At 38.9% G+C, this 24,263-nt stretch overlaps 1 protein-coding gene and 2 pseudogenes across 4 annotated transcripts in view, besides 2 other annotated features; 2 read left to right on the top strand and 1 right to left on the bottom strand.

Annotated features, from left to right (window-relative positions):
• MIA2 (MIA SH3 domain ER export factor 2) overlaps positions 302-24,263 on the bottom strand; it is a 154,608-nt gene continuing 130,646 nt past the window's right edge. For 3 of the 4 annotated variants that reach the window (NM_001354145.2, NM_001354154.2, NM_001354155.2), the window contains one exon: positions 302-1,939. In NM_001354145.2, coding sequence (NP_001341074.1) covers positions 1,872-1,939 — 68 coding nt within the window. In that variant the 3' untranslated portion in view covers positions 302-1,871. The remainder of the gene's footprint in view (positions 1,940-24,263) is intronic. The other variant, NM_001354148.1, reaches the window with a different exon arrangement.
• COILP1 (coilin pseudogene 1) lies at positions 1,696-4,307 on the top strand (annotated as a pseudogene).
• Positions 17,730-18,229: an enhancer, noted in NCBI's record as "H3K4me1 hESC enhancer chr14:39839799-39840298 (GRCh37/hg19 assembly coordinates)". NCBI's record gives its function as "activates a minimal SCP1, AML or CMV promoter by ChIP-STARR-seq in primed H9 embryonic stem cells {active_cell/tissue: H9 hESC(primed)}" and the evidence as "EXISTENCE:reporter gene assay evidence [ECO:0000049][PMID:30033119]".
• On the top strand, positions 18,068-18,545 carry GLRX5P3 (GLRX5 pseudogene 3; annotated as a pseudogene).
• Positions 18,230-18,731: an enhancer, noted in NCBI's record as "H3K4me1 hESC enhancer chr14:39839297-39839798 (GRCh37/hg19 assembly coordinates)". NCBI's record gives its function as "activates a minimal SCP1, AML or CMV promoter by ChIP-STARR-seq in primed H9 embryonic stem cells {active_cell/tissue: H9 hESC(primed)}" and the evidence as "EXISTENCE:reporter gene assay evidence [ECO:0000049][PMID:30033119]".

Genomic DNA, 24,263 nt, shown 5'->3' with positions numbered 1-24,263 from the left:
TTGAAGTAAGTGAGACCACGAACCCACCGGGAGGGACGAACAACTCCAGATGGAAGGAATGAACAACTCCAGACCCGCCGCCTTTAAGAGCTGTAACACTCACTGCGAAGGTCTGCAGCTTCACTCCTGAAGCCAGCGAGACCAGGAACCCACCAGAAGGAAGAAGCTTTGGACACGTCCGAACATCAGAAGGAACAAACTCCGGACACGCCATCTTTAAGAATTGTAACACTCACCACGAGGGTCTGCGGCTTCATTCTTGAAGTCAGCAAGACCAAGAACCCACCAATTCCAGACACACTAGCACACAGAAGACTCTCAAATATATTTCTCAAATGAATGGCATATTAACATTTGGGTTAGCATTAATATCACAATATCACTACATCTCTGGAAAACATTTTTCAGAGGGAAATCAGGTAAGGACATAAAATTTAGACTTAAAGGGATATGGAAAGACATGAAAAAACAGGTTTAAACTATAAAGTTTGAAATTACAGTAACAATGCAGCAAAATAAAACTGCCTCTTTGAAAAGAAAAACATGAAGGAAAAAATGTAAGATTGTTTGGATAGCTGTCAATAAATACTCTACATGGGTATGCCTTACTTTATCAACAGCTTTGTATATTGACCAAAGTTAAATTCTAATTTCTGATGAAAACAATTGTTTTTCCATAAGGCAATAAATGATTAGCAGATGGGGGAACTCGGCATTATGGTACAGCCCTACCTTGGAGATATTGCAGGTTCAGTTCCAGACCACTACAATAAAGAGAATAATGCAATATAGCAAGTCACACAAACTTTTTGGTTTCACAATGCACATAAAAGTTATGTTTATACTGAAATGTATTAGGTGTACAATAGCATTATGTCTAAAAAATGTACAGACCTTAACTTTTAAAATATTGCTAAAAAATGCTAATAATAATCTGAGCCTTCAGCGAGTCATAATCTTTTTCCTGGTGGAGGATATCACCTCCATGTTGATAGCTGCTGACTGATGGCAGTGGTGGTTGATGAAGGCTGGGTGGCTCTGGCAATTTCTTAAATGAGACAACAGTGAAATCTGCCGCATCCATTCCTTCTTTTTGTGGACATTTTCTCTGTAGTATGCCATGATGTTTTATAGCTTTTTCCCCACAGAACTTCTTTCAAAATTGGACTCAATCCTCTCGAACTCTGCGGCAGCTTTATCTACTAAGTGTATGGAATATCTGAAGTATTGTGTTATTTCAACAATGTTCACAGCATCTTCACCAGGAGTAAATTCCATCTCAAAAACACACTTTTTTTACTGATCCATAGAAGCAATTCCTCATTTGTTCAAGTTTTATCATGAGATTGCAGCAGCACTTTAGTCACATTGTCAGGCTCCACTTCTGATTCTAGTTCTCTTGCTACTTCCACCACATATGCGGTGACCTCTTCCCCTGATGTCTTAGACCCCTCAAAATCATTCCATGGATTCCATGGAATGGACTCCTTAAACATGGAATCCACTCCTTACAAAGTCCAGTTAATGTTGATACTTTAATCTCCTCCCATGAATCACAAATACTCTGAATGGCATCTAGAAGGGTGAATCCTTTTGAGGTTTTCACTTTACTTTTCCCAAATCCATCAGATGAAATACTATCTATGGTAGCTATAGTCTTATAAAATGTATTCCTTAAACAATAAGGCTTGAAAGTCGGCTTCCGTTGAGCACCAAGCAAGATGGCAGCCTCCGAGACAGTTAGGCCAAGGCTTCAATTTGATTACCCGCCGCCAGCTACCCGGCACTGTAGGGCCTTCTGGCTTCTGTTCCACTTGAACAGATACGAGTCGTCACAGATCTCGTTAGTCTCATCCGCCAATGCTTCGGCTTCATTTCTGGGGCCCTCCTAGGCCCCTACCTGAAGCCGGGGCTCCTGCCCCGGGCGGAGAGCGTGCGCCTGGTGAGAGAGAACGACCGCCTCAGAGTTAAAGTAGAAGAGAGACGAGTTGCTGAGAATTCTATGGTCATCAGTAATGGTGACACTAATCTATCACTTAGAAAAGCAAAGAAGCGGGCATTTCAGTTAGAGGAGGATGAAGAAACTGAACCAGATTACAAATATTCAAAGAAGCATTGGAAGAGGCAAGAAAACAATAACAATAATGAGAAGGTCTTTGATCTGGAACCAAAAGCTGTCACAGATCAGACTGCCAGCCAAAAAAAAAGAAAAAAAAGAAAAAAGAAAGCCCACTGTGGCACAGCAGGTGATGATAACAAAGAGACCAAAAGAAAATCACCAAAGAAAAAGGAGAAATGTGAATATAAAAAAAAAGGCCAAGAATCCCAAGTCTCCTGAAGTACAGGCAGTAAAAGACTGGGCCAATCAGAGATGTAGTTCTCCAAAAGGTTCTGCTAGAAACAGCCTTGTTAAAGCCAAAAGGAAACGTAGTGTAAGCGTTTGCTCAAAAGAGAGTCCCAGTTCCTCCTCGGAGTCTGAGTCTTGTGATGAAGCTATCAGTGATGGTCCCAGCACAGTCACTTTGGAGGCCAGAAATTCCTCAGAGAAATTACCGACTGAGTTATCAAAGGAAGGACCCTCTACCAAAAATACAACTGCAGACAAACTGGGTATAAAATCTGGCTTTAGCCTTACCCCCAGCAAGGGCAAGACCTCTGGAACAACATCTTCCTATTTCAGACTCTAGTTCAGAGTCAGATGACCAATGCTTGATGTCATCAAGCACCCTGGAGTGTGCTGCGGGTTTCTTAAAGACAGTAGGCCTTTTTGCAAGAAGAGGTTGTCCGGGCCCAGAGTTGTCATGACAGACTGTAGGTGCTGCTGGATGGAGGCGTTCTTGCTCAAATGGTGGCGGACAGGCTCCTGGTCCTCCTCTCAGTGTGTCTCTCCCCACCAGTTTAGGAAGAAGATGGGGTAGAGGAGATAACCTTTTTTCTTGAAAGGGAGCTAGGGGACGGGGCATGCGGGGGAGAGGTCGAGGACAAGGGCATCCTGTTTCCTGTGTTGTAAATAGAAGCACTGAGAACCAGAGGCAACAGCAATTAAATGACCTGGTAACAAATTCATCTACTATTATCCAGAATCCGGTAGAGACACGTAAGAAGGACTATAGTCTGTTACCACTGTTAGCAGCTGCCCCTCAAGTTGAAGAAAAGATTGCATTTAAGCTTTTAGAACTAACATCCAGAAGAATATTAAGCCCCAATCCAGAGACCCAGCAAGTAGATATAGAAATTGTTTCATCCTTACCCGCCTTGAGAGAACCTGGGAAATTTGATTTGGTTTATCACAATGAAAATGGAACAGAGATAGTGGACTACGCTGTGACACAGGAGAGCAAGATCACTGTATTTTGGAGAGAGTTGATTGACCCAAGACTGATGATTGAATCTCCAAGTAACACATCAAGTACAGAACCTGCCTGAGTATGACCTCTCCACCTTATAGTTTATGAATGTCTTGTTTGTGCAAGTGAGTATAACCTGAACTTTTTTTTTTAAAGAGGATTTGGAAGTTGTGTGGATTTTTTTGTTATCTTCACTTTACTGCATAGGAAACAACCTACCTCATCATTTAAAATGACATGGGTGTTGGTTTTGTAGATCTTTGGGTTTGTCAGGTTTAATTTCAGTTAACAAAATGTACAACATGACATTCCCTGCAGACATTGTTGTATACCAGTATGGTTTCTTCTTTTTTTAGATGTTTTGGCCATCAAGTAGCAGTCGTCAGTAGGAGTTTATAATACCAAGAATGTGCTGCTATCTTGTCTTAATAAGTTTTAAGTAACATTTAGAAATATTAAAGCATGTTACTTGACCTAATTTTTTAGCATTTGAGTTGTTCCATTAAATGGAGCATCTCATAAATTTCAAGTATTTTATACTTGCAATTGTTAAGAGTTAAAAGGTAGTTGGATTTGTCACAGACAATGAGTTAAGGAATCCTTTCACGTTTTTCCCAACTTTAAAATTAAGGATTCTCAGGGCGCTGTGTAGAGCAGTGAAAATAAGATGTGTGTGTGTGTGTGAGTGTGCGCGTGCACATGTATGTATGTCTGGAGAATTGGTGTTCCACTTAGGTGAGAGGACTGGCTGTGAGCTTCAGACCAGGAAATGTGTCATCTTGCCAGGCACCTGGCTGAGTGTGCCGGAGTGAGGATCTTGAACAGAAACTTCATTTTCTGTTATTATTCACTACAAAGCTAAAATGGCCAAATATATACTGTGAAAATTGGTTTCATCTAACAAAAGATCAGACCCCTCCTTCAGCTGTACACGTTTAAATAAAACCACATTGAACTTAAAAAAAAATTAAAAAAATAAGACTTGAAAGTCGAAATTACCCTTTGATCCATGGGCTGCAGAATGGGTGTTGTGTTCACAGGCATGAAAACATGAATTTCCTTGCACATCTCCATCAGAGCTCCTTAATAACCAGGTGCATTGTCAATGAGAAGTAATTTTAAAAGGAGCCTTTTTCTGAGCAGTAGGTCGTGGGCTTAAAATATTGAGTAAACCATGCTGTATACAGACGTGCTGACATCCACACTTTGTTGTTCCATTTATGGAGCACAGGCAGAGCAGATTTAACATAATTCTTAAGGACCCTAGGATTTTTGGAATTGCAAATGGCTTCAGCTTAAAGTGACCAGTTGCATTAACCTCTAACAAGAGAGTCAGTCTGCCCTTTGAAGCTTTGAAGTCAGGCATTGACTTCTCTCTAGCTATCAAAGTCCTAGATGGCTTCTTCTTGCAACAGAAGGCTGTTTTTGTCTACACTGAAAATCTGCTGTTTAGTGTAGCCACCTTCATCAATGAGCTTAGCTAGACGTTCTGGATAACTTGCTGCAGCTTCTACATCAGCACCTGCTGATTCATCTTGCATTTTTAGGGAGATGACTTCTTTATCTAAACCTCATGAACCAACCTCTGCTAGCATCAAACTTTTCTCCTGCAGCTTCCTCACCTCTCTCATCCTTCATAGACTTGAAGAGAGTGAGGGCTTTGCTCTGGATTAGATGTTGGCTTAAGAGAATGCTGTGGCTGGTTTCATCTTCTATCCAGACCACTAAAATTTTCTCCATATCAACAATAAGGCCATTTCACTTTCTTATCATTCATGTGTTCAATGAAGTAGCACCTATACTTTCCTTCAAGAACTTCTCCTTTGCATTCACAACTTGGCTGTTTGGCACAAGAGGCCTAGTTTCAACATGCCTTCCTCATGAAACAATCATTTCTAGCTTTTGATTTGAAGTGAGAGACATAGGACTTTTCCTATCACCTGAACACGTAGAGGTCACTGTAGGGTTAGTCATAGGCCTAATTTTAATGATTGTATCTTAGGAAGTAGGGAGGCTCAAGGAGAGGGAGAGAGATGGGGAAAGTAGTCAGAACACATACATCTGTCAATTCAGTTAGCTATTTTCTATAGATGTGGTTTGTGGTACACCAAAATAACAATAGTAGCATCAAAGATGACTGATCATAGATAACCATAACAGATACAATAATAATGCAAAGTCTAAAATATTATGAGAGTTACCAAAGTGTCACACAGAGACACAAAGCAAGAACAAACTGTTGGGAAAATGGTGCTGATAGACTTGCTCAACAGAGTTGCCACAAACCTTCAATGTGTTAAAACAAACAAACAAGAAACCACAGTATCTGTGAGGCACAATGAAGTGTAATAAAATGAAGTAGGTCTGTATTATATTTCTGGTCATGATTTACAGGTAATAGTCATATCATCTGTTTCTTTATAATTTCCACCATTGTTTGGGAATTGTATCAGGACCCACAGAAGGCCTACTGTAAAAAACAAAAGTTATATCTCTTACCAAAAAAAAAAAAAAAAAAAAAAACTGTGGCCATAGCAGATATATGTCTAAAAGCTGTTCAATTAGTAAAGAGTGTCCAATTCTTATCTTGTTATTGTACCTAATTATAAATAATAAATAGTATTTCAAATAATAAACTAGAACACATTTTTGTTACTAGACATCTCTTATGAGTGTGAAAGGAAAATAAAAAGTCTGGACTCCAATTCACTATCCTAAAGGAAAAACTGAAGCTGAAAGCAGAGTCATACAAGCAACTGCTTTTCCTTTTGTTCCTAAGCAGTAGCTACAGATAAAGGTCAAATATCTCCACTCTATGTTCACCTTATCTTGTGTACAGCGCAGAATTACTGAGCACGAGACAAATGCATAATTGACTATTCCCCTACCTGCTCCTTTTTTCTTGTAACATGTGGATTCAGTAACGTGACCATACTCTCCCAATTTCCCCTCCAGCCTGCTTTTCCCCTTTAAATACTGAAGCCCTCAAAATCATCTTTGCAGAAAGGTACAAAGCTGTCTCCTGGGCATGTCCTCAACCTTGGCAAAACAAACTTCTGCATTGGTTGAGACTTGTCTCAGGAACTTTTTGGTTTACAAATTTGTGACCAGGAAGGGGCTCAGTGGAGGTCCCCCTGACCTTTAACAAATTTCCTATCGATGCTTGGTACCAGCTTGGGCTGTCTTTATTGCTCAAATAGGATGATTTGCTGAGGCCTGTGAGCTCTCCCTTCCAGAGAATCCCTGATCTCCCAAAATTTGATTGAGATCTAAGGTTTATTTTGCTGTACAACTCCTTTTCTGGAGTTTTACTCGCTTCCAACAAGAAAGGTGAGTTTTCCTGCTTCCCTGACGATGGAGAGCAGGCAGTATCTTTCTGGAGTTTCAGCTTGCTTCCAATAGGGAAGGCAAGTTTGAGTTTTTTTCCTGCTTCTAGGACACTAGAGAACAGTCTTTAGCCTGGACCCCATTCCTAGTTAGCTGAACTAGGGTTTGTCTTAGAAATTCTCCTTAATAACTAAAGGTTAAGATTAACAACCAGCTAGTCTTAATTTCTCCTTACCATTAAGAGCTCAGTAGTCATATAAATTGTGCAAGCATCATTTGTGTTGTTTAATTGTTCTTGTTGTTGTTGTTGATTTGTTTCTGGTTTTTTTGTTTTTGTTTTTTCAGTCTTTTTCCCATTGGGTTTGACCAACTCTACCTGACTTGATCAAATGCAAAGGAACATTCCAAATTAGGAGGAGTAAGGCCTCTGAATTGGTTAGATTCCCACAGCTGGGGAAAAAAAAGAAAAAGAAAAAAAAAAACAGCCAGCAAAAGAAAAAAGATTGACTACACAGGGACTTTATTTATGTAACAAGGCCACCTTTTGCTAGCCAAGCGAAACCGAAAGAGCTTCGGCCATCGCCCCACAGTGTGGTTCATTCTTTTGCCCTTTTTTCACCATGACAGCTGGGATTGGTCCTTAAATCAAGTCCTTTCTGGCTTTATATTTTCATATTTATGTTACTTTTTAAATATAAGCAATTTGTCCCAGCTAAAATATGGTAATGAGATATAAAAGGATGTTTTAAACAGTTTGATGGTTGAAAGTCACCTTAAAAGCTGCTATCAAGATGTGTGTGTGTGTATTTAAAAGGCCTTTATGCTTTCTTTCTCTCCTAGAATCTTTTTTGAGAAAAAGGTTTTATTTCTTCTCAGTAGACTGAATTCTGTCTTCTCCATTTACTTCTGCCTATCTTTCCTTCCTCTTACCACCTTCTGCTGCATGAAGGACCTAAAACAATTTCTAACAGCCTAGGATTCCTTAATGAAAACAAAGAAGATGCCAGACTCCTTTTTAGGGAGAAGCTCTGTTTTTCCTTATGATACCCCAAGAGTGTAAACAGACAAGTTTCTCAGATTTTTAAACTGCCTGCTTTTGTATTGTTACCTTTGTTTTTTTTTTTTTTGTTTTTTTTACTAAAATAGTTATTACCACAGGGGCTGCTCTTGGGTGTTTAAGAAAGGACATAGTTTAGAGACTTACAGAAAAGTCTTTGTAACAAAATGCACTGTAAAAGCACTACATGGCCTAGTCTCTTCGGAATAGGCCCATGATATCTTTCTCTTTGGAGAACCAGGGTTTCAGTGTGGGCTCTGCCCAGAGCTCAGAAATCTAGATAGAGACTAAATTTAAAACTAGCAATCTAAATAAAATTGGTCTCTTTATATAATCCTATGGTAGATTTCTATAATTTTATGTTTGACTTGGCATCGATTTTTTTTTTTTTTTTTTTTTTTGAGTCTGAGTCTCGCTCTGTCGCCAGGCTGGAGTGCAGTGGTGCGATCTCAGCTCACTGCAACCTCCGCCTCCCGGGTTCAAGCAATTCTCCTGCCTCAGCCTCCCTAGTAGCTGGGACTACAGAGGCATGCCACCATGCCCAGCTAATTTTTGTCTTTTTAGTAGAGATAGGGTTTCACCATGTTGGCCAGGATGCTCTCTATCTCTTGACCTCGTGATCTGCCCTCCTTGGCCTCCCAAAGTGCTGGGATTACAGGTGTGAGCCACAGCACTCCAGCATCAATTTTTAATTGCCTTCTAGCCCACCGACTTTCTCTCTATATTTTGAGATGTCAATTTCACTATCTGGTTTTCATCTGAGTTGTTCCTTTAATATACAAAATTTTTTGTTTGACCCAAAAGTTTAACTTTTATTGTGTCTCTCTGTTTTCAGCTTTCTCTCCCCTTGGAGAAGACCTGAGATAATAAGTTGCTCCAGCTCCTCTTTTTTCCTCAGGTTTTAATTGCTGTTGTGACCTGATGCTAAAAATGTTTTATCTTAAAGGTCTGAAGGAAATGTTTTCTTTCAATATAACATTCTATGCTCTTGGCTTAATATATCTAAATTATTTTATGAAACCGAAAGCCTTCACTTACAACTCAGGACATATTCCTTCTATTTAAGTATCCTTCTCATTAGTTTTGACTTGTGGGTTGTCTAAATGTACTCCCCACATTGAAAAGCAATCACACTGCAGGAGGTGGTGGGGTTTTTGTTGTTGTTGTTTTTTGTTTGCCTTAGGAAAACTGAGATAAAAACATTTTTTAATTTAAGGTAATTTAAGGTTTTTGGGTTTTTTTTGAGACATAGTCTTGCTCTGTTGCCCAGGCTAGAATGCAGTGGTGTGACTTGGCTTACTTCAACCTCTGCCTCCCAGGATCAAGCAATTCTCCTGCCTCAGCCTCCTGATAACTGGGATTACAGGTGCGCACCACCATGCTTGGCTAATTTTTGTATTTTTAGTAGGGGTGGGGTTTTGCCATGTTGGCCAGACTGGTCTCGAACTCCTGACCTCAGGTGATCCACCCGCCTCAGCCTCCCAAAGTGCTGGGATTACAGGCATGAACCACCACCCCCAGCCTAGCTTGCAAGTTATCTAAATGTACTCCCCATATTGAAAAGCAATCACACTGCAGAAGGTGGTGCGTTGTTTGTTTTGTACGACGGGAGAGGGGAGTTTGCCTTAGGAAAACTGAGATTAAAACATTTTTAAATTTAAGGTGATTTAAGGTTTTAAATTAAGGTTATTACATCATGAACTGCATTCATGAGGCACAGGGCCAGAAATTAAAACTATTCAACCACTCTAGGCCCAGGGACTATCCTGAAAGAGGTGGGTGCATAAGATGGTAAGGGCTGATTTTGAGAGAGAAAATTAGTTCAAAGTTTCTCTATAAATTAAACATTAGTACCAAAGGTACACTAATGCAAGACCAGCATCTGGGCCCCATGTCAGATTAACAAGGTTTTCTTGGAGCATTAACCCACTTTTTAACCAAAAAAAAAAATTATAAAAGACTATAAAAAGGTTTATGGAAATTCCATCTTATGGTCGAGATGATTAAAATTTAATAGGTTTATAAGATTTGAGAGACAGGTTTAATTGGCCTTATGCTGTCTTTATTTTGGCGTATTGTTTGAGGAATTAAGTCTCCCCTCTCAAAGAATAAAGATTTTTGCCTTTTAAACAAAATCTTATCACTTTGGCTAAATGAATGACTTATTTTACAATGACCTGTGATCCTATTTTGCAATATCAAGTATTTTAAACTCTTTATATTTGACAAACTTTCCAAAATCAAATTCTAAATTCGGTCTTCATTAATTTTTTTGGTATTAAGCACCCTTAAGTCCAAGAGACACATTTGGCTTGTTTGGTATAATAAATTCATACAGGAAGTATTGTCAAATATGAAATTTTGTTTAGCCTTCTTTGGACTGCATTTATATAAATGTGTTATTAGTATATGTGCCAAAATCATAAGAGATTCCTGTGATTCTGATGTTTTAGTGTATGTTATCAGTAGTAATTATGATTATGTAAAACTATTGTATGCCAAAGAAGTAACTAAATTTCCTTGTCAGTTGTGTCTTTAACCATGGCTGTTCTAAGACTTTTGTCATCCACAATTGTTGTTTTACTTTGATCCTTTTATAAGGCAGTTTATAATCAGCTATAGAACTCTAAGGAGTACTCTTAGATATAGATTTATGGATAAATTTAGAGATGGTGCCATTGGAATAAAGAGGAAAACTTCCAGCACTCTCATGAAGAGCTGATGTATTCATGAGGTTTGCTGATCCAATATTGAGCACAGTAGGAGTTAACTGCATGGGATGAACTAGTAGCAGACTGGAAATAATCTTTTATGACTTTTTGTTTAACACATTTGCTGATTCTTTTTGTTTTTCAAAGTCAAGAAAACTTTTTCTTCTTTTAGGCTATTTGCAGCTTTTAACAATTCAGTAACATATACTCTTATGAGAAAAATTTAAAACATAATTCCTTTCACTCAACCTGATCTTGACAAAATTTGGTAACTAATTTGTGAGAATTCTTAATTTATGAAAATACAGTTATTTGCATAACTTCAATAAGAATGTATTTTCTTTTATACAAGTGCATAACTGGAGCCCCTTGGAAAAACTGGCCTCATACCTTGTTCTTTACAGGGTCCTGATCTGTGGTAAGTAAAGAATGTCACTTGGTGACAGGCCCAGGAACCCCAAGTTTTCTTGGGACCTCAAAAAGAGAAGAATTCACCCAATTCACACAGGTATTTGAAGGCACAGATAAATCCTCGGCTGGGCTCAAGGCTTTTAAGAAAGTCTAAATCTTAGATTCCTTATAAAAAAAAGTTTCCAGCAAAGCCAATTTAAAAAAAAAAAGGGAGAGAGCCTGTATAACAAATGATTATTCTTGCTGTACTTTATGCAAATAATCAAGCCAAGTGTAATAGGTCTAAAATGTATTTTACAAGTAAGTTGGTCCTTCTATGATTTTAAGTAAAATTGGGTTATTGGAGAGAGAAAAATCCTGTTCAAATTAAATTATAGTATACCTGTTATTAGACTCCAGCCTTGCCTAATGTTTTCATTTTTATTATTTTCTACAATTTGGACTGAATTCTAAAATTTTTGCTGGCTATGACTCTCCAAAATAATGTTTTCAATTTCTTTTCCTTATTTCTTTTCCTTCTTTTTTTCCATTTTTCCTGATTTGAAATCACTAAAAATTAAGCTTTGCTTTTCTTAAAGCCCTGTGAACTGAAGCTAGACAACTTAAACTTCAGAAGAAAACAATAGCAACCTATTTATATACATAAACCATTTTCATACCTGCCTACTGATGAATGGACTTCAGAGTAATATGGCCTTTGTCAGTTTTCCAGGATTGTTCTTTTTTTTTTTTTTCTTCCTCCCCCTATGTTCTCTTTGTAGGACATGAGACTTCACAACCTGCCAAAAAATTAGCTTCCTAACAACATGAGACCTATTCGTCTAGGAATAAACTGTCCTAGCCACAAAAGATCAGACAAAACCCAAGACCAGAGAGTCATTTTCTTCTAAAATGCTTTATCTGAAAGATTTTAAAAAGAAAAGTGGGGAGAAATGTGAAAGGAAAATAGAAACTCGGGACTCCAATTCACTAGGCCAAATGGAAAAATTTAAGCTGAAAGCTGAGTCATGCAAGCAACTGCCTTTCCTTTAGTTCCTAAGCAGATAGCTACAGATAAAGGTCAAATATCTCCACTCTATCACCTTATCTTGTGTACAGCACAGATTTACTGAGCATAAGACGAATACATAATTCACTATTCCCCTATGTGGTTTTATCTTGCAACCTGTGGATTCAGTAATGTGACCCTACACTTCCTATTTCCCCTCCAGCCTGCTTTGCCCCTTTAAATATTGAAGCCCTCAAAATCATCTGTGGAGAAAGGCACAGATCTGTCTCCTGGGTGTGTCTTCAATCGTGGCACAATAAACTTCTAAACTGATTGAGATTTGTCTCACATACTTTTTGTTTTACATGAGATTGAAAAAACAAACTCTCTTCCTAAATACTTAGTTCACCTTTAGCTTGAAATAGTACATTCTCTTATGTTTCAGTTAATAAAGATTTAAAATTGGCCATGTTTTCTGTTTTCATAAATTTGTTATATTAAACCTACTGATATTAAACATAATTTTTAAATGATAGAGCTATCTTTAAAAACATTTATATATTAAAATATTAGTTTCAAACATTTAACTTTTAAAAACACTAAATCAACCCACAGCATGACACAATAATTTATCATGTTAAACTCATTTAATTTCAATATTGAAAAATCGTTTAGAAATCAACTTGTCTAATTCCCTCACTTTATAGATAAAGAAATGTAAAACCATTTGGCTGGGCGCAGTGGCTCACTCCTGTAATCCCAGCACTTTGGGAGGTCAAGGCAGGCAGATCACTTGAGGCCAGGAGTTTGAGACCAGCCTGGACAACATGGCAAAACCCCATCTCTACTAAAAATACAAAAATTAGCTGGGCATGGTGGCAGGCACCTGTAATCCCAGCTACTCAGGAGGCTGAGGCAGGAGAATCACTTGAGCCCAGGAGGTGGAGGTTGCAGTGAGCTGAGGTTGTGCCACTGCACTCCAGCCTGGGCAACAGAGCCAGGCCCTGTCTAAAAATAAAAATAAAAAAATCAATTTTTCACTGTTTGCTTTAGGTTACCAAAAAAAGATAACTATATAACTAAAATAACAATATCCTGCTTTAAAAAGCTCATGAAACTATAGTTTTTCTCTAAACAAGATTCATAATTTCAAGAGCTTATGAAAGATTAACTTCAGTTACATGATTTTGTTCAGTGAAGCAATAACAAAATATTAATTTTCAGGTTGTTTCCTTGAACTTCTCATCCCTCAACTGGATCCACAATTTTGTTTTGTTTTGTTTTTAAAGACAGACTCTTGCTCTGTCACACAAGCTGGAGTGTAGTGGCCTGATCTCCACTCACTGCAACTTCTGTCTCCCGGGTTCAAGCAATTCTCTTGCCTTGGCCTCCTGAGTAGCTGGGATTACAGACATGCGCCACGATGTCTGACTAATTTTTTGCATTTTTAGTAGATACAGGGTTTCGCCATGTTGGCCAGGCTGGTCTCGAACTTCTGAGCTCAGGCAATCCGTCTGCCTCGTCCTCCCAAAGTGCTGGGATTACAGGTGTGAGCCACCATGCCTGGCCTGGATCCACAACTTTTAATGCTCTCATTTTACAACGTTTCTAAAAGCTTTACCATTTCAGGCTGAATTTAACATGGCAAAAACTCTATCCAAGGTAAATAATGAATAAAGTATGAACTAATGATAACATTCTCAGTAATACCATTAAAAATACTAGAAATGCAACTTTAATCAACAGAGCCAATTATTCATCTGCCTAGCCAATTCCTTAGAATTGAAGGAATAGCTTTGTCCATAAATGAAAAACAATCTAGAAAACAGAAGGCTCTTAAGTTTTAATTGGGAGCACATGCTTCTCCCTTACTAACAAGCAGCAGGAAGAATATTTATTTCCTGATTACACATTTCCTTTACCTCATACCAATCCAAGTCTAATCCCTGGTTTTCTTTGCCATGTCCAAACCTCCATGATTCAGAAGTGAGAAATGAAGCACACTCTGAAAGTTTTAAAGCACATCATCATGAGCCAGTTTTAGTTATAAAACCCAATTTAAAAGAGTTGCTTCCTAAGGTTTTACCTAAAATGAGAATTCAAATACCTGCCTTAACTCCTTCACAGGATTGTTTTGAAAAATATGAAGTATTACACGCAAAATGAGTTTCTCATATTACTAACATCCAGAGATGTTATTGCAAGTAATCGCAGAGGCTACTGGGTCAGTCTCAATACAGAAACATCCCTCAGACCTGTTAAATAGCTGCCTAATTTCCATGTGAACACATACCTTGATAGGAAGAGGACAGCCTCCTTAACTGCCTGTTTGAATATTAGACAAGATCTCTTGGGATGAACACACACTGGCCCTGGTTAAGCAAAATATTTATATCTATAGAAATGAACTGAGTCATTTTTCAGTCTTCTCCAACCCCAAGATTCTCTGATGTTTTGCCTTTTGAAAGATCACATTTCCTTTTTCCAAAAAAAGATAGCCATCATCATATCTGTTCTCAAAGTTAATATTTTATCACTCATTGAACATTTACCATGTGTTAGCATCTGTATATACATAATTTTGGACCTGTATAATTACTGATGAGAAGGCTATTAGTTTGCTGTTTATAGGTAATTTGTCCTGCTGGTTGCTTTCAAATTTCCTTAGTATTCTGTAGATTTCCAATGGCATGACCTTAGGTATAGATCTACTTTTATTTATCTGCTTTGGACTCAAAGTGCTTCTGCAATCTGAGGAATTACATTTTTCATCAACTCTGAGAAATTCTCAGCTACCATTTCTTTGAATGTTGCTGCTCTTCCAGTCTTCACTCTGGAACTCCTACAAGGCTCATATTGGACTTTTCATTCTATCTTCTGTCCCTTAACCTCCCCCATAATTTCCATTTATTTATCTGTTAACATACTCTGGTAATTTCACATATTCTCTTTTTAGCTGGGTCCAGTCTCACACCTTGAGTTTGCTTGTTGAGACAGTCTTGCTATGTTGCCCAGGCTGGGAGAGACTCCTGGGCTCAGGTGATTCTCCCATGTGGGACTCCCAAAGTGCTGTGATTACAAGCATGAACCACTGCACCTGGCCAGAGTTTGTTTTTTTTCTTATGACTGTTTTCTCATTTTTTATTTTTTATTTTTTATTTTTAGACCAACTCTTGCTCTATCATGCAGGCTGGAGTGCAATGGCATGATCTCAGCTCACTGCAACCTCTGCCTCCCAGGTTCAAGTGATTCTCATGCCTCAGCCTCCCAAGTAGCTGGGATTACAGGTGCACACCACCATGCCCAGCTAATTTTTGTATTTTTAATAGAGACAAGGTTTCACCATGTTGGCGAGGCTGGTCTCAAACTCCTGACCTCAGGTGATCCACCACCTTGGCCTCCCAAAGTGCTGGGATTACAGGCGTGAACCACCACGCCTAGCCCTATTTTCTCATTTCTACACATCCTAATGGATTCTTATCAACGATACCTCAGCCTGTTTCATAATGCTCTGCTCTTTGTGGCTTTTATTCTTTTATCTTTCAAATTATTTTTAAAATATACTTTAAAATCTCATTCAAGTTTTTCTTTTAATTCAATTAGGTAGGTTGCTAATTTTCCAGACTATTATGTCTTCTGGTTTTCCCTCAGTGGCATGCTTTTTTTTTTTTTTTTTGGCCAAGAATTTTTTGCTTTTTAACATAGAAAGCCAGTATGTATTTACATTGATAAAGCAATTACAGATAAATACACTTAAAAAGACATGACATGCTGGAATATTTTCTTAGTGATATCCTAAAACCATAATTAAATCCTTTTTCACTTCTTCATTGAAACACAATAAATGTACGTATTTAGGGTACATGTGCTAATTTAATATGTTCATGTAGTTCAAGACCAAATCCATGTAACTGGGATATCCATCACCTTAAATATTTGTCTTTGTGCTAGGGACGGCTCTAACTCTTCTGTCTTGGGGTAAATTTCCATCTCTAAACCCAATCCCCTTGAACATTTGAATTACTCTCTTCTATCTATTTTGAAATATACAATACACACACTTTTTATTGCATCCTCAATTTCAGTAGGAATTGCTTGTCTATGGACAAGCTGTGAGTCACAACTAGTCTTAAGTATTACTACAGTTCAGTTTCTGCCAAGTACTCCAGATATGTTACATTCAGTTTTTAGCACTCCTTTAAAAGTCCTAGATTTGTGCAGGAATCTCTATATCCATTTATACATTAAAACACTAGTCCATACAACTTATATCTGGTTTTAATATCCTTTTATCATTTTTCATTAAAAAGGTTTTAATATCCTTTTTAAAATTCTGGCACCAAGGATATTTTCCTTTCCTATACTCTTAGATTCCTCTTCTCAACTAAACATACCCTCAAGTTATTTAAAATTTACGAAGTTCATGCAATCTGCAGGCACATTTAACATATGGTACCCAGAACAGAACAAAGTTTTCCAAAAACTGCTGCCTGGTCCGATTTGGAAACTGAACTTCTATTATATACATCCTTAATTGTTCTAGCTTCCACATTATACTGTTGACTCACCTTATGCTCTACTCACTTATAACTCATAGATCTTTGATGTAAGAACAACTTCTAAAATAATTGAAATTGAAAAATGAGACTTCATATTTATCCTGCATCAACTTTTTTTTTTACGTTTTCACACAAAACTGAGTCAATACTACTCAGCAAGTGGGAACCTTTAAAACACACACTTGGCTTTCTAGGAAAAGAGGAATAAGCTTATTCCTATGTGAAATAGACCCTACTGTTTCTGCCTACACAGTACTCCATTCTTATAACAGAATCCCTCTACTTATAAGAAATTTATTCCACATCATTCAGATGAGGATTACCCTGTCCAGCCACAGGGGGAAGCTCCCGATCCCATACCCCAGCCAAGGGGATTTGTTCAGAGATGGAAATTCACCCCAAGACAGAAGAGTTAGAGCCATCCTTAAGACTTTTGCTAAAATTTTCCAATTTAAAAAAAAAAGAAAAAAGGACTCTCTCCCCCTTCTGAAGTAGTAAATACTAAATACCATGTAAGCTTAGAGATGTTGCCCCTACACAGAAAGATAATGTGCCTGAGAATGAAATTAACAGAGGAAAAGTAAAGCCCAGGAGACTAAGACAGAAAGACCATGTTTTCATAATATAATTTAAGTCATTAGATGTAACTGTGAAACCTTGAAACTCTTAGTCACAAAAAACAATATTCAGTTATTTTTCTCAAACCAGTTTGAGTCGTATTTCCGTCTTGCAAGCAAGAAACCTAACACAATGTATAACATGCTTAACTGCTCTTTATACAAAATTATCAGAGCATTCTCCTATTACACAAAAAACCCATCATCTCTTTTGTAGCACTCATATCAAAATCTGTAAAAGTAGCTGCTAATTTGAAAAAGCAGGAGGTTTAGTTTGTCATGATTATAACACTGGATTCTCGTCTAAATAGACACACGATGAACCCTGAACCACATCTGCAAAAACAGACTAAAAATCACTCACTATATTCACAAAATAATTGTGTAGCATCTAACCAAGTCTACAAATTGGCCCTAAAAAAGTCTTGTCTTTTTTTGCAACCAACCTGGTTCCAAAGAATATGATCTTCTCCCTTTTTCTTAACTACCCTCTCTCCCCTTCCCCAAATTCTGGCCCCAATTCTGGGAATACATTCCTAAACTTATCCTAAATCCAGAAAACAAAAGTGAATAAATAAAGATATTTAATATTACATCATCATATATATTTAAAAATCCTTTTAAAAAATGAAAACAGCGTAAGTGCTCACCAAGAAAAGAATAGTCAAGTAAACTATATTCACAAAATGGACCATTTACAAACACTAAAAGTGAAGTTTACAAATGACTACGTAACATAAAAATGATTTACGTTAGAGGATTAAGTTTCAGGAAAAAAAAGTAAAATTCCAGACACACATAATTACAACAATTCAAAAGATACTTGAATAAAAGTTTGAAGGAAATATGTAAATGCAAAATGCAATTCTGCTTTGGTGATGGCCTTGGATTATTGATTTTTCTTCTATCTGACCGTTTTCCAACTTTTCTTCAAGGACCACGTGTTAGTTTTCTATTTAAAAGACTGTAAGATCAAAGCAACGGGAAAAGTTATCCAAATAGAATCCAGAAGTAGTCTTTCTTGAAATTTTCAAGTCTACTGTATTTCAGTTCAAAATAATGCTCGAGGGCCTGGGCCATTGTGGGCTCCAGCAAATGTGTGGGGATGAGCAGCGAAGTGGTGGCTCTGCTGTGCTGGGCATGCAGCACGTGCGACAGACTCGGGCAGCAGAGAGGCGCTGGTGAAGGACAAGGTGCTGGACTTCCTCAAGAGGATGCCGGAGCAGCCCCAATGCGGCTTCAGCAACACGGTGGTGCATATCCTACAACTGCGCAGTCTCCATGACAATCTGGCCTACAAAGTGATGGGTGACCTCAAGCTCCGACAGGGCATTAAGACTATTCCAACCGGCCCACCATCCCACAAGCATACCTCAATGGAGAGTTTGTCAGGGGCTGTAACATTCTTCTGCAGATGTGCCAGAATGAGGACCTGGTGGGAGAACTGAGAAAGCTGGGGATCTACTTCACCCTTTTAGATAAAAAGGAAGACCAAGATTCAAAGTGTGGCTGCCCAGGTCCTCACTGAGCAGAGATGGAGCGTTCATGTCAGAGACTGCCAGAAAAGCCTTACCGATTTTGCTTTTCGCTATTGAGGCAACAACTGCTTGCACTGATCACTTCGGTTTGTAAGCAGTCGGGTGATTTTAGTTTGTCTAGTGTTTGAGCTAGTAATATTTTATTGTGAAAACTGCAACCACTTCACTGCAGTAATTCAATGTTGTATTATAATATTGCTGTAAACAAAATTCATTCTTATGTTGTCATTTATTCTTTGTCTGATTCAGGAGCTAAACTAGGGGCTTTGGAATCATTATTCATGACTCCTCTGCAAATGACAGTCTGCAAAGACAATATATCGCCCCCAATTTTGTGTAACTTCTATTAAGCAAAATGATGAACAAAGAAGAAACTAATAAACGGGGTGTTGTTTTTTAAAACAACTGCCAACATAGGGGGGAGAAAAACAAAACAAAACAAAATAATGCTCAGTTGAACTTTTACCTATTCATGTCGCTATCACTTCAGAAGGTGGTAACAATTAACAATAGAAAACTGAAGCTTTGAGATGGCAGACAAAGCACATGCATTTATCATCTGCCCACCTCCTGAGACCCCACTGAAAAAAACACAAAGAGCTGACTGAAATCCCATAACAGTAAAAAGAATAAAGGAGGCCACCAACAAATAAGAGGTTTTCCATTTTTTTGGAGGAGAGGAGGAGCAGAGAGGATTAGGTTGAAGATAAAATAACTAGAGAAAGCCACAGCCTAGAATCTGTTACCAGGGGCTGGAAGCCAGTCTACCTGATGGAACCTGAAGATGTGTACCCTATACTATACACAGAATTAAGGATGAGTGTGAAAAGAGGGAGATTAAAGATCTGTATATAGAATACCTAATTGTAGGTACTACCATTCTAGTCCTATAATCCCAAGCACAAGGCAGTGAGCCTGGATTTGCCTCTAGCTAAAACACCGGACAGATCTTCCCTAAAGAAATTAAACTGGAACAAGCAAGGGCTTCTAGTGTGACTAGATCTCTTTCCGGCATCTGAACAGCCTTCACCCTGCCAACCAGATCCCTATCTGCTCAACCCAAGGCAAACCCTGTCAGTCACAGATTCCCCTCCCCAAGCCCTACCCACAAGAAAAAAGATCTCCCAGTCTGAATTCTCACTTGAGAAAGCCATGTAACAGGAAAACAGTCCATCTTACATTTAAAAAAATATGAGCCAGTACTAGTTAACTAGTTCATCTTTCTGAAACATGGATAACTTCAGACTTAGCAAGCATGGTGAGGACAGAAGACCCAAGAGAAGCAAATGGAATTTAATTATTAACTCCAGAGGAAACAGATAATTTAGAAGACAACTTTTAGAAAGCTCTAATATAGAGAGATTGAAGAAGATAATAAATCTTTACAAAAAGGACAACATCTGTGAAACAAAGTTTGAACTAAAGAAACAAGTATAATAAAAATGTTCTTGAAGATTAAACGTACGTTTACTGAAAAAAATTTCAAGAGAATGACTGGAATATATAATTGAAAAAAATTTTCAGAACAAAAGTTGAAAGACTAAATTACCTATGGGTCAAAAATTACCAAAAAAAAAAACAAAAAAAAGAAAAGAAAAAGAAAAAAAGTAGAGACTAAAAATATAAGAAAAGTAGAAAAGGAATTTTCCAAAGATTAAAAAAAAAAATTCCCAGAATTTCAGAAAATGAGTCTTCAGAGTAAGTGCCTTAACACAAGGTGGCAGCCACGGTACACCAAATCATGTCTCTCCTCTGCAAAAATCCTGCTATGAGGAGTACAGCTCTTTAGCCTTCAGCACGCACACAAAAACCAGGTTCCTCCTGGGAGATTCTCCAAGCCAAGGACAGAACACAGCAGGGGAACCAGAATAGAGCCATTCCTACCTAATGAGGGACTATTCTAACAGGCAATTTTTACCCTGGGAATTGCCACTGCCCTGCCTGAGACTTTCTCAGAGATGCACTAAGACTGTTTACACCCAATTTTTCTTCCTTCTCTCTCTCCATTCACTGATGACAGACCTGAATCACTGTCTGAAGGTCCTCTCCAATCTAATTTTGCTCTCTCGCCCCTTAATCCTTCACAGGTGTTCTTCCTCAATAAATCTCTTCATTGTCTAATTCAATCTTGGAATCTTTCTCAGAGAACCTTAACAAAACAATAATTGAAAAGAGCCTCACATGTAAATGCATTATATTGTGATTGTCAGAACACCAAAGATAAAGGGGGGAAAAAAGCAAGTTTCCATAGGAAAAAAATCAGGTTACCAACAAAGGGAACAAAATGAAATTTCCTTCAGACTTCTCACCAACAACATTAAAAGATAATATATTGATATTAATTGATACTTAGAAAGCAATATGCAGTAGTTCCTCTGTAACTTTGAGTTCTGAATCCACAGAATCAATCAACCACAGATCACAATATTTGGAAAAAAAAACCGACGACAATAAAAAATAATACAAATAGAGAAGAGAAGGGGCTTCAAGACAGCAGACGAGAGGCATCTGACATTTGCCTCCTCCACAAAGAACCAAAATAGCATGTAGATAATCACACTTTGAATAGATCACCTAAGAGAGAACACTGGAATGGAATAGAGAAGTGACAGGAAATACCTGAGGCATGGAAGGAGAAGGAAGTCTGGCAGCCAGCTCAGCTGGGTGCCCAAAGAGGCTCTCCAGTGTAGGAAAAGGGTGAGGGATCCCCAGGTATCCACATTCCCACTGCAAACTCCTGCAACATTAGCCACAGGACAGAACCCTCAGACTAGCTAGCATAAGGAGCTGCCTAGACATAGCACGTTAGCATTGCTCTAGAGAGGGAGCTCATGCCGAGTACCACACACAGTCCCTGAAATCCAAGCTGTGCAGCACAGCACCATTTCAAAATCCAGCCCCACCAGACTAGGCCTTCTGCTCTAGGGCTCAACAGCCCCTGCATCTCCACATCCCTGAAGCTGCACTGATATTCCCCTGCATTCACCAGAATGACTGCAGTGGCATAGTATCAGTTGGACTCAGTGGAATGACAGGGTCGCCAACACTCTAGCACACACAGTATCCTGCACCCCAAGGATAGGGCACTGTAGCACACAAGGGAGGCTGCCCCCAGGACAAAGGGAGCCAAAGTGCTGCAAGTTCCCCAGAGCCTGAAACCTGCCTGCCTAAAGCTACTGCCATTGATAAAAACCCTGCCTCCATCAGCAGCAGGGCCACAGCACAACTGCGTGGCTTTCCAGTGTGCCACACTGCTGCTGCCACCAGGGACCCAAGCGTGCGCCACTGGCAGCAACTCTCTGCCCCTCAGCAGCACAGCGGCCATGCACTTGCACACACTCTGAGAACTATTTCTGCTGTTGCCACCAATGCCAGAGGTTGAAGTTTGTCCTCCCTAGAGCCTACGAGTTGCCTACCTGCAGCTGTGAGCACTGACAGCAACCCCATCCCCACCAGCAAAAGGACAACAGTGCACTAGTGTGTGCCCTGAGGATGGGCTCTCTCCACTCACCACAATGCAGCTGCCACCATCCAAGTGCTCTGCCAGGAAACCTAAGGGTCACCCCGATCTGTCCACCACAAACTGCACCCATGCATACCACAGGACAGACTGAGGACAGGCTATTTCCAAACACACCATCCAAGGGCGTGGGGATCAGCCCAACCCATCCACCACTGCTGGCATCTGTGCACTCCTCCTAGGGGCCTGAAGATGGGCTCACTTAGCCTGCCACTAACATCACAGCTGGTACTCGCTGGCACGTGCCCTGAGGGCCTGGGAACTGGCCCACCCAGCCCAACACAGCCATTTCCAAAACAAGTGTGTGCCACCTGGAAACTCAAAAGTTGTCTTACCACCACTACAGACATTGCTCATGATACACACACTGCCCAGGGGCACAACAACCCACCCGCCTGGCCCACCAATGCAACTACCAGCACCCAACAAAGTTACCCAGAAGCCCAAGAATAGGCTACTCGGACCTGTTAATACCTGTACCCGTGTATGGACACCCAGAGACCCAAGGACAGGCACACTCAGCTCACTATTCCCACTACTGGGCCCTGAGGACGGCCTGGCCCACCTGGCATCCCTATATCCAGCAAAACCTCACCACAGTCTCCACTAACAACTACAGCCTAAGCGACTGATGAAATCACAAACACCACTGAAGCTGCTTAAAGTCTAAGAAACTGCATAGAGACTACACTACTGCATGCACCCAGAATCAAAGCTAAAGTGCCCTACCCAACCAACAACACAGGCACACTTTTAGGAAAAAGTCTGGCCCTACAAAAGCCAATACAAAAAATCAGAAGAAGTGATTGTTACACCAGACATACAAATATCAATGTAAAGGAGACAAAAAACATAAAAAAGAAAGAAAATGTGACACAGCCAGAGAAACAAAATAATTCTCCAGCATTATATTCCAATAAAAATGAAATTTATAAGATGCTGGAGAAATAATTCAAAATAATGTTATTAAAGCTCAGTGAGATGCAAGAGAACACAGATGAACAATACAAAGAAATCAGAAAAGCAATTCAGGATATAAATGAGAAATTACTAGATAGATAGATAGATAGATAGATAGATAGATAGATAGATAGATAGGTATTTTTAAAAACCCAGGTATCCTAGAATGAAAGAATTCAATACATGAAATTACAAACACATCTGAAAGCTTCAACAACAGACTAGATCAACCAGAGGAAAGAATTTCAGAACCTAAACACAGGCCTTTTGAAATAACTCAGTAACACACACATGCAAAAAAAAGAAAAAATAATAAGAATGAACAAAGCCTATGTGATGTACAGAGCACCATAGTGTAACCAAATATTTGAATTCTGGGTATTCCAGAAAAAAGAAGAGAAGGCTAAAGGCACTGAAAACCTATTTAATGGCCGGGTGCAGTGGCTCATGCCTGTACCACTTTGAGAGGCTGAGGCAGGCAGATCACTTGAGGTCAGAAGTTCGAGACCAGCCTGGACAACATGGTGAAACCCCGTCTCTACTAAAGATACAAAAATTAGCCAGGCTTGGTGGCGCATGCCTGTAATCCCAGCTACTTGGGGAGCTGAGGTAGGAGGATTGCTTGAACTTGGGAGGTGGAAGTTGCAGTGAACTAAGATCATGCCACTGCACTCCAGTCTGTGCAACACAGTGAGATTCCATCACAAAAAAAAACAACAAAACCCCAATTATTTAAAAAAAAGAAAAAGAAAACCTATTTAATAAAATAATAGCTGAAAAGTTCTCACATATAACAAGAGACTTAAACATCCAAATACAGGAAATTCAGAGATCCCAAATGCGTAAAATTCAAAAAGGTATTCTCCACAGCACATTATAGTCAAACTGTTTAAAGTCAAAAACAGAGGATTCCAAAAACAACAAGAAAAAAAAATCTAGTTACATAAAAGGGAATCCCCATCAAAATAACCACAGATTTCTCAGCAGAAACTTTATAGCCCAGGAGACAATGAGATAATATATTGCAGTGCTAAAAAAACAAAACAAAACAAAACAAAAACAAAACAAAAAAAACAAACTATCAGCCAAGAATACTATACCCAGCAAAGTATTCCTTCGTAACAAAAGGGAAAATAAAGTCTTTTCTAGATAAGCAAAAACTGAGAAAATTCATCACCACTAGAACAGACCTACAAGAAATGCTTAAGGGAGTCCTATAAATGGAAGG

The sequence above is a fragment of the Homo sapiens genome, chromosome 14 (genome assembly GCF_000001405.40).
Source record: "Homo sapiens chromosome 14, GRCh38.p14 Primary Assembly".
Lineage (NCBI taxonomy): Eukaryota > Metazoa > Chordata > Mammalia > Primates > Hominidae > Homo > Homo sapiens.
The sequence above is the reverse complement of the archived record's forward strand: the minus strand, read 5'-3'. Positions and strand labels throughout refer to the sequence as shown.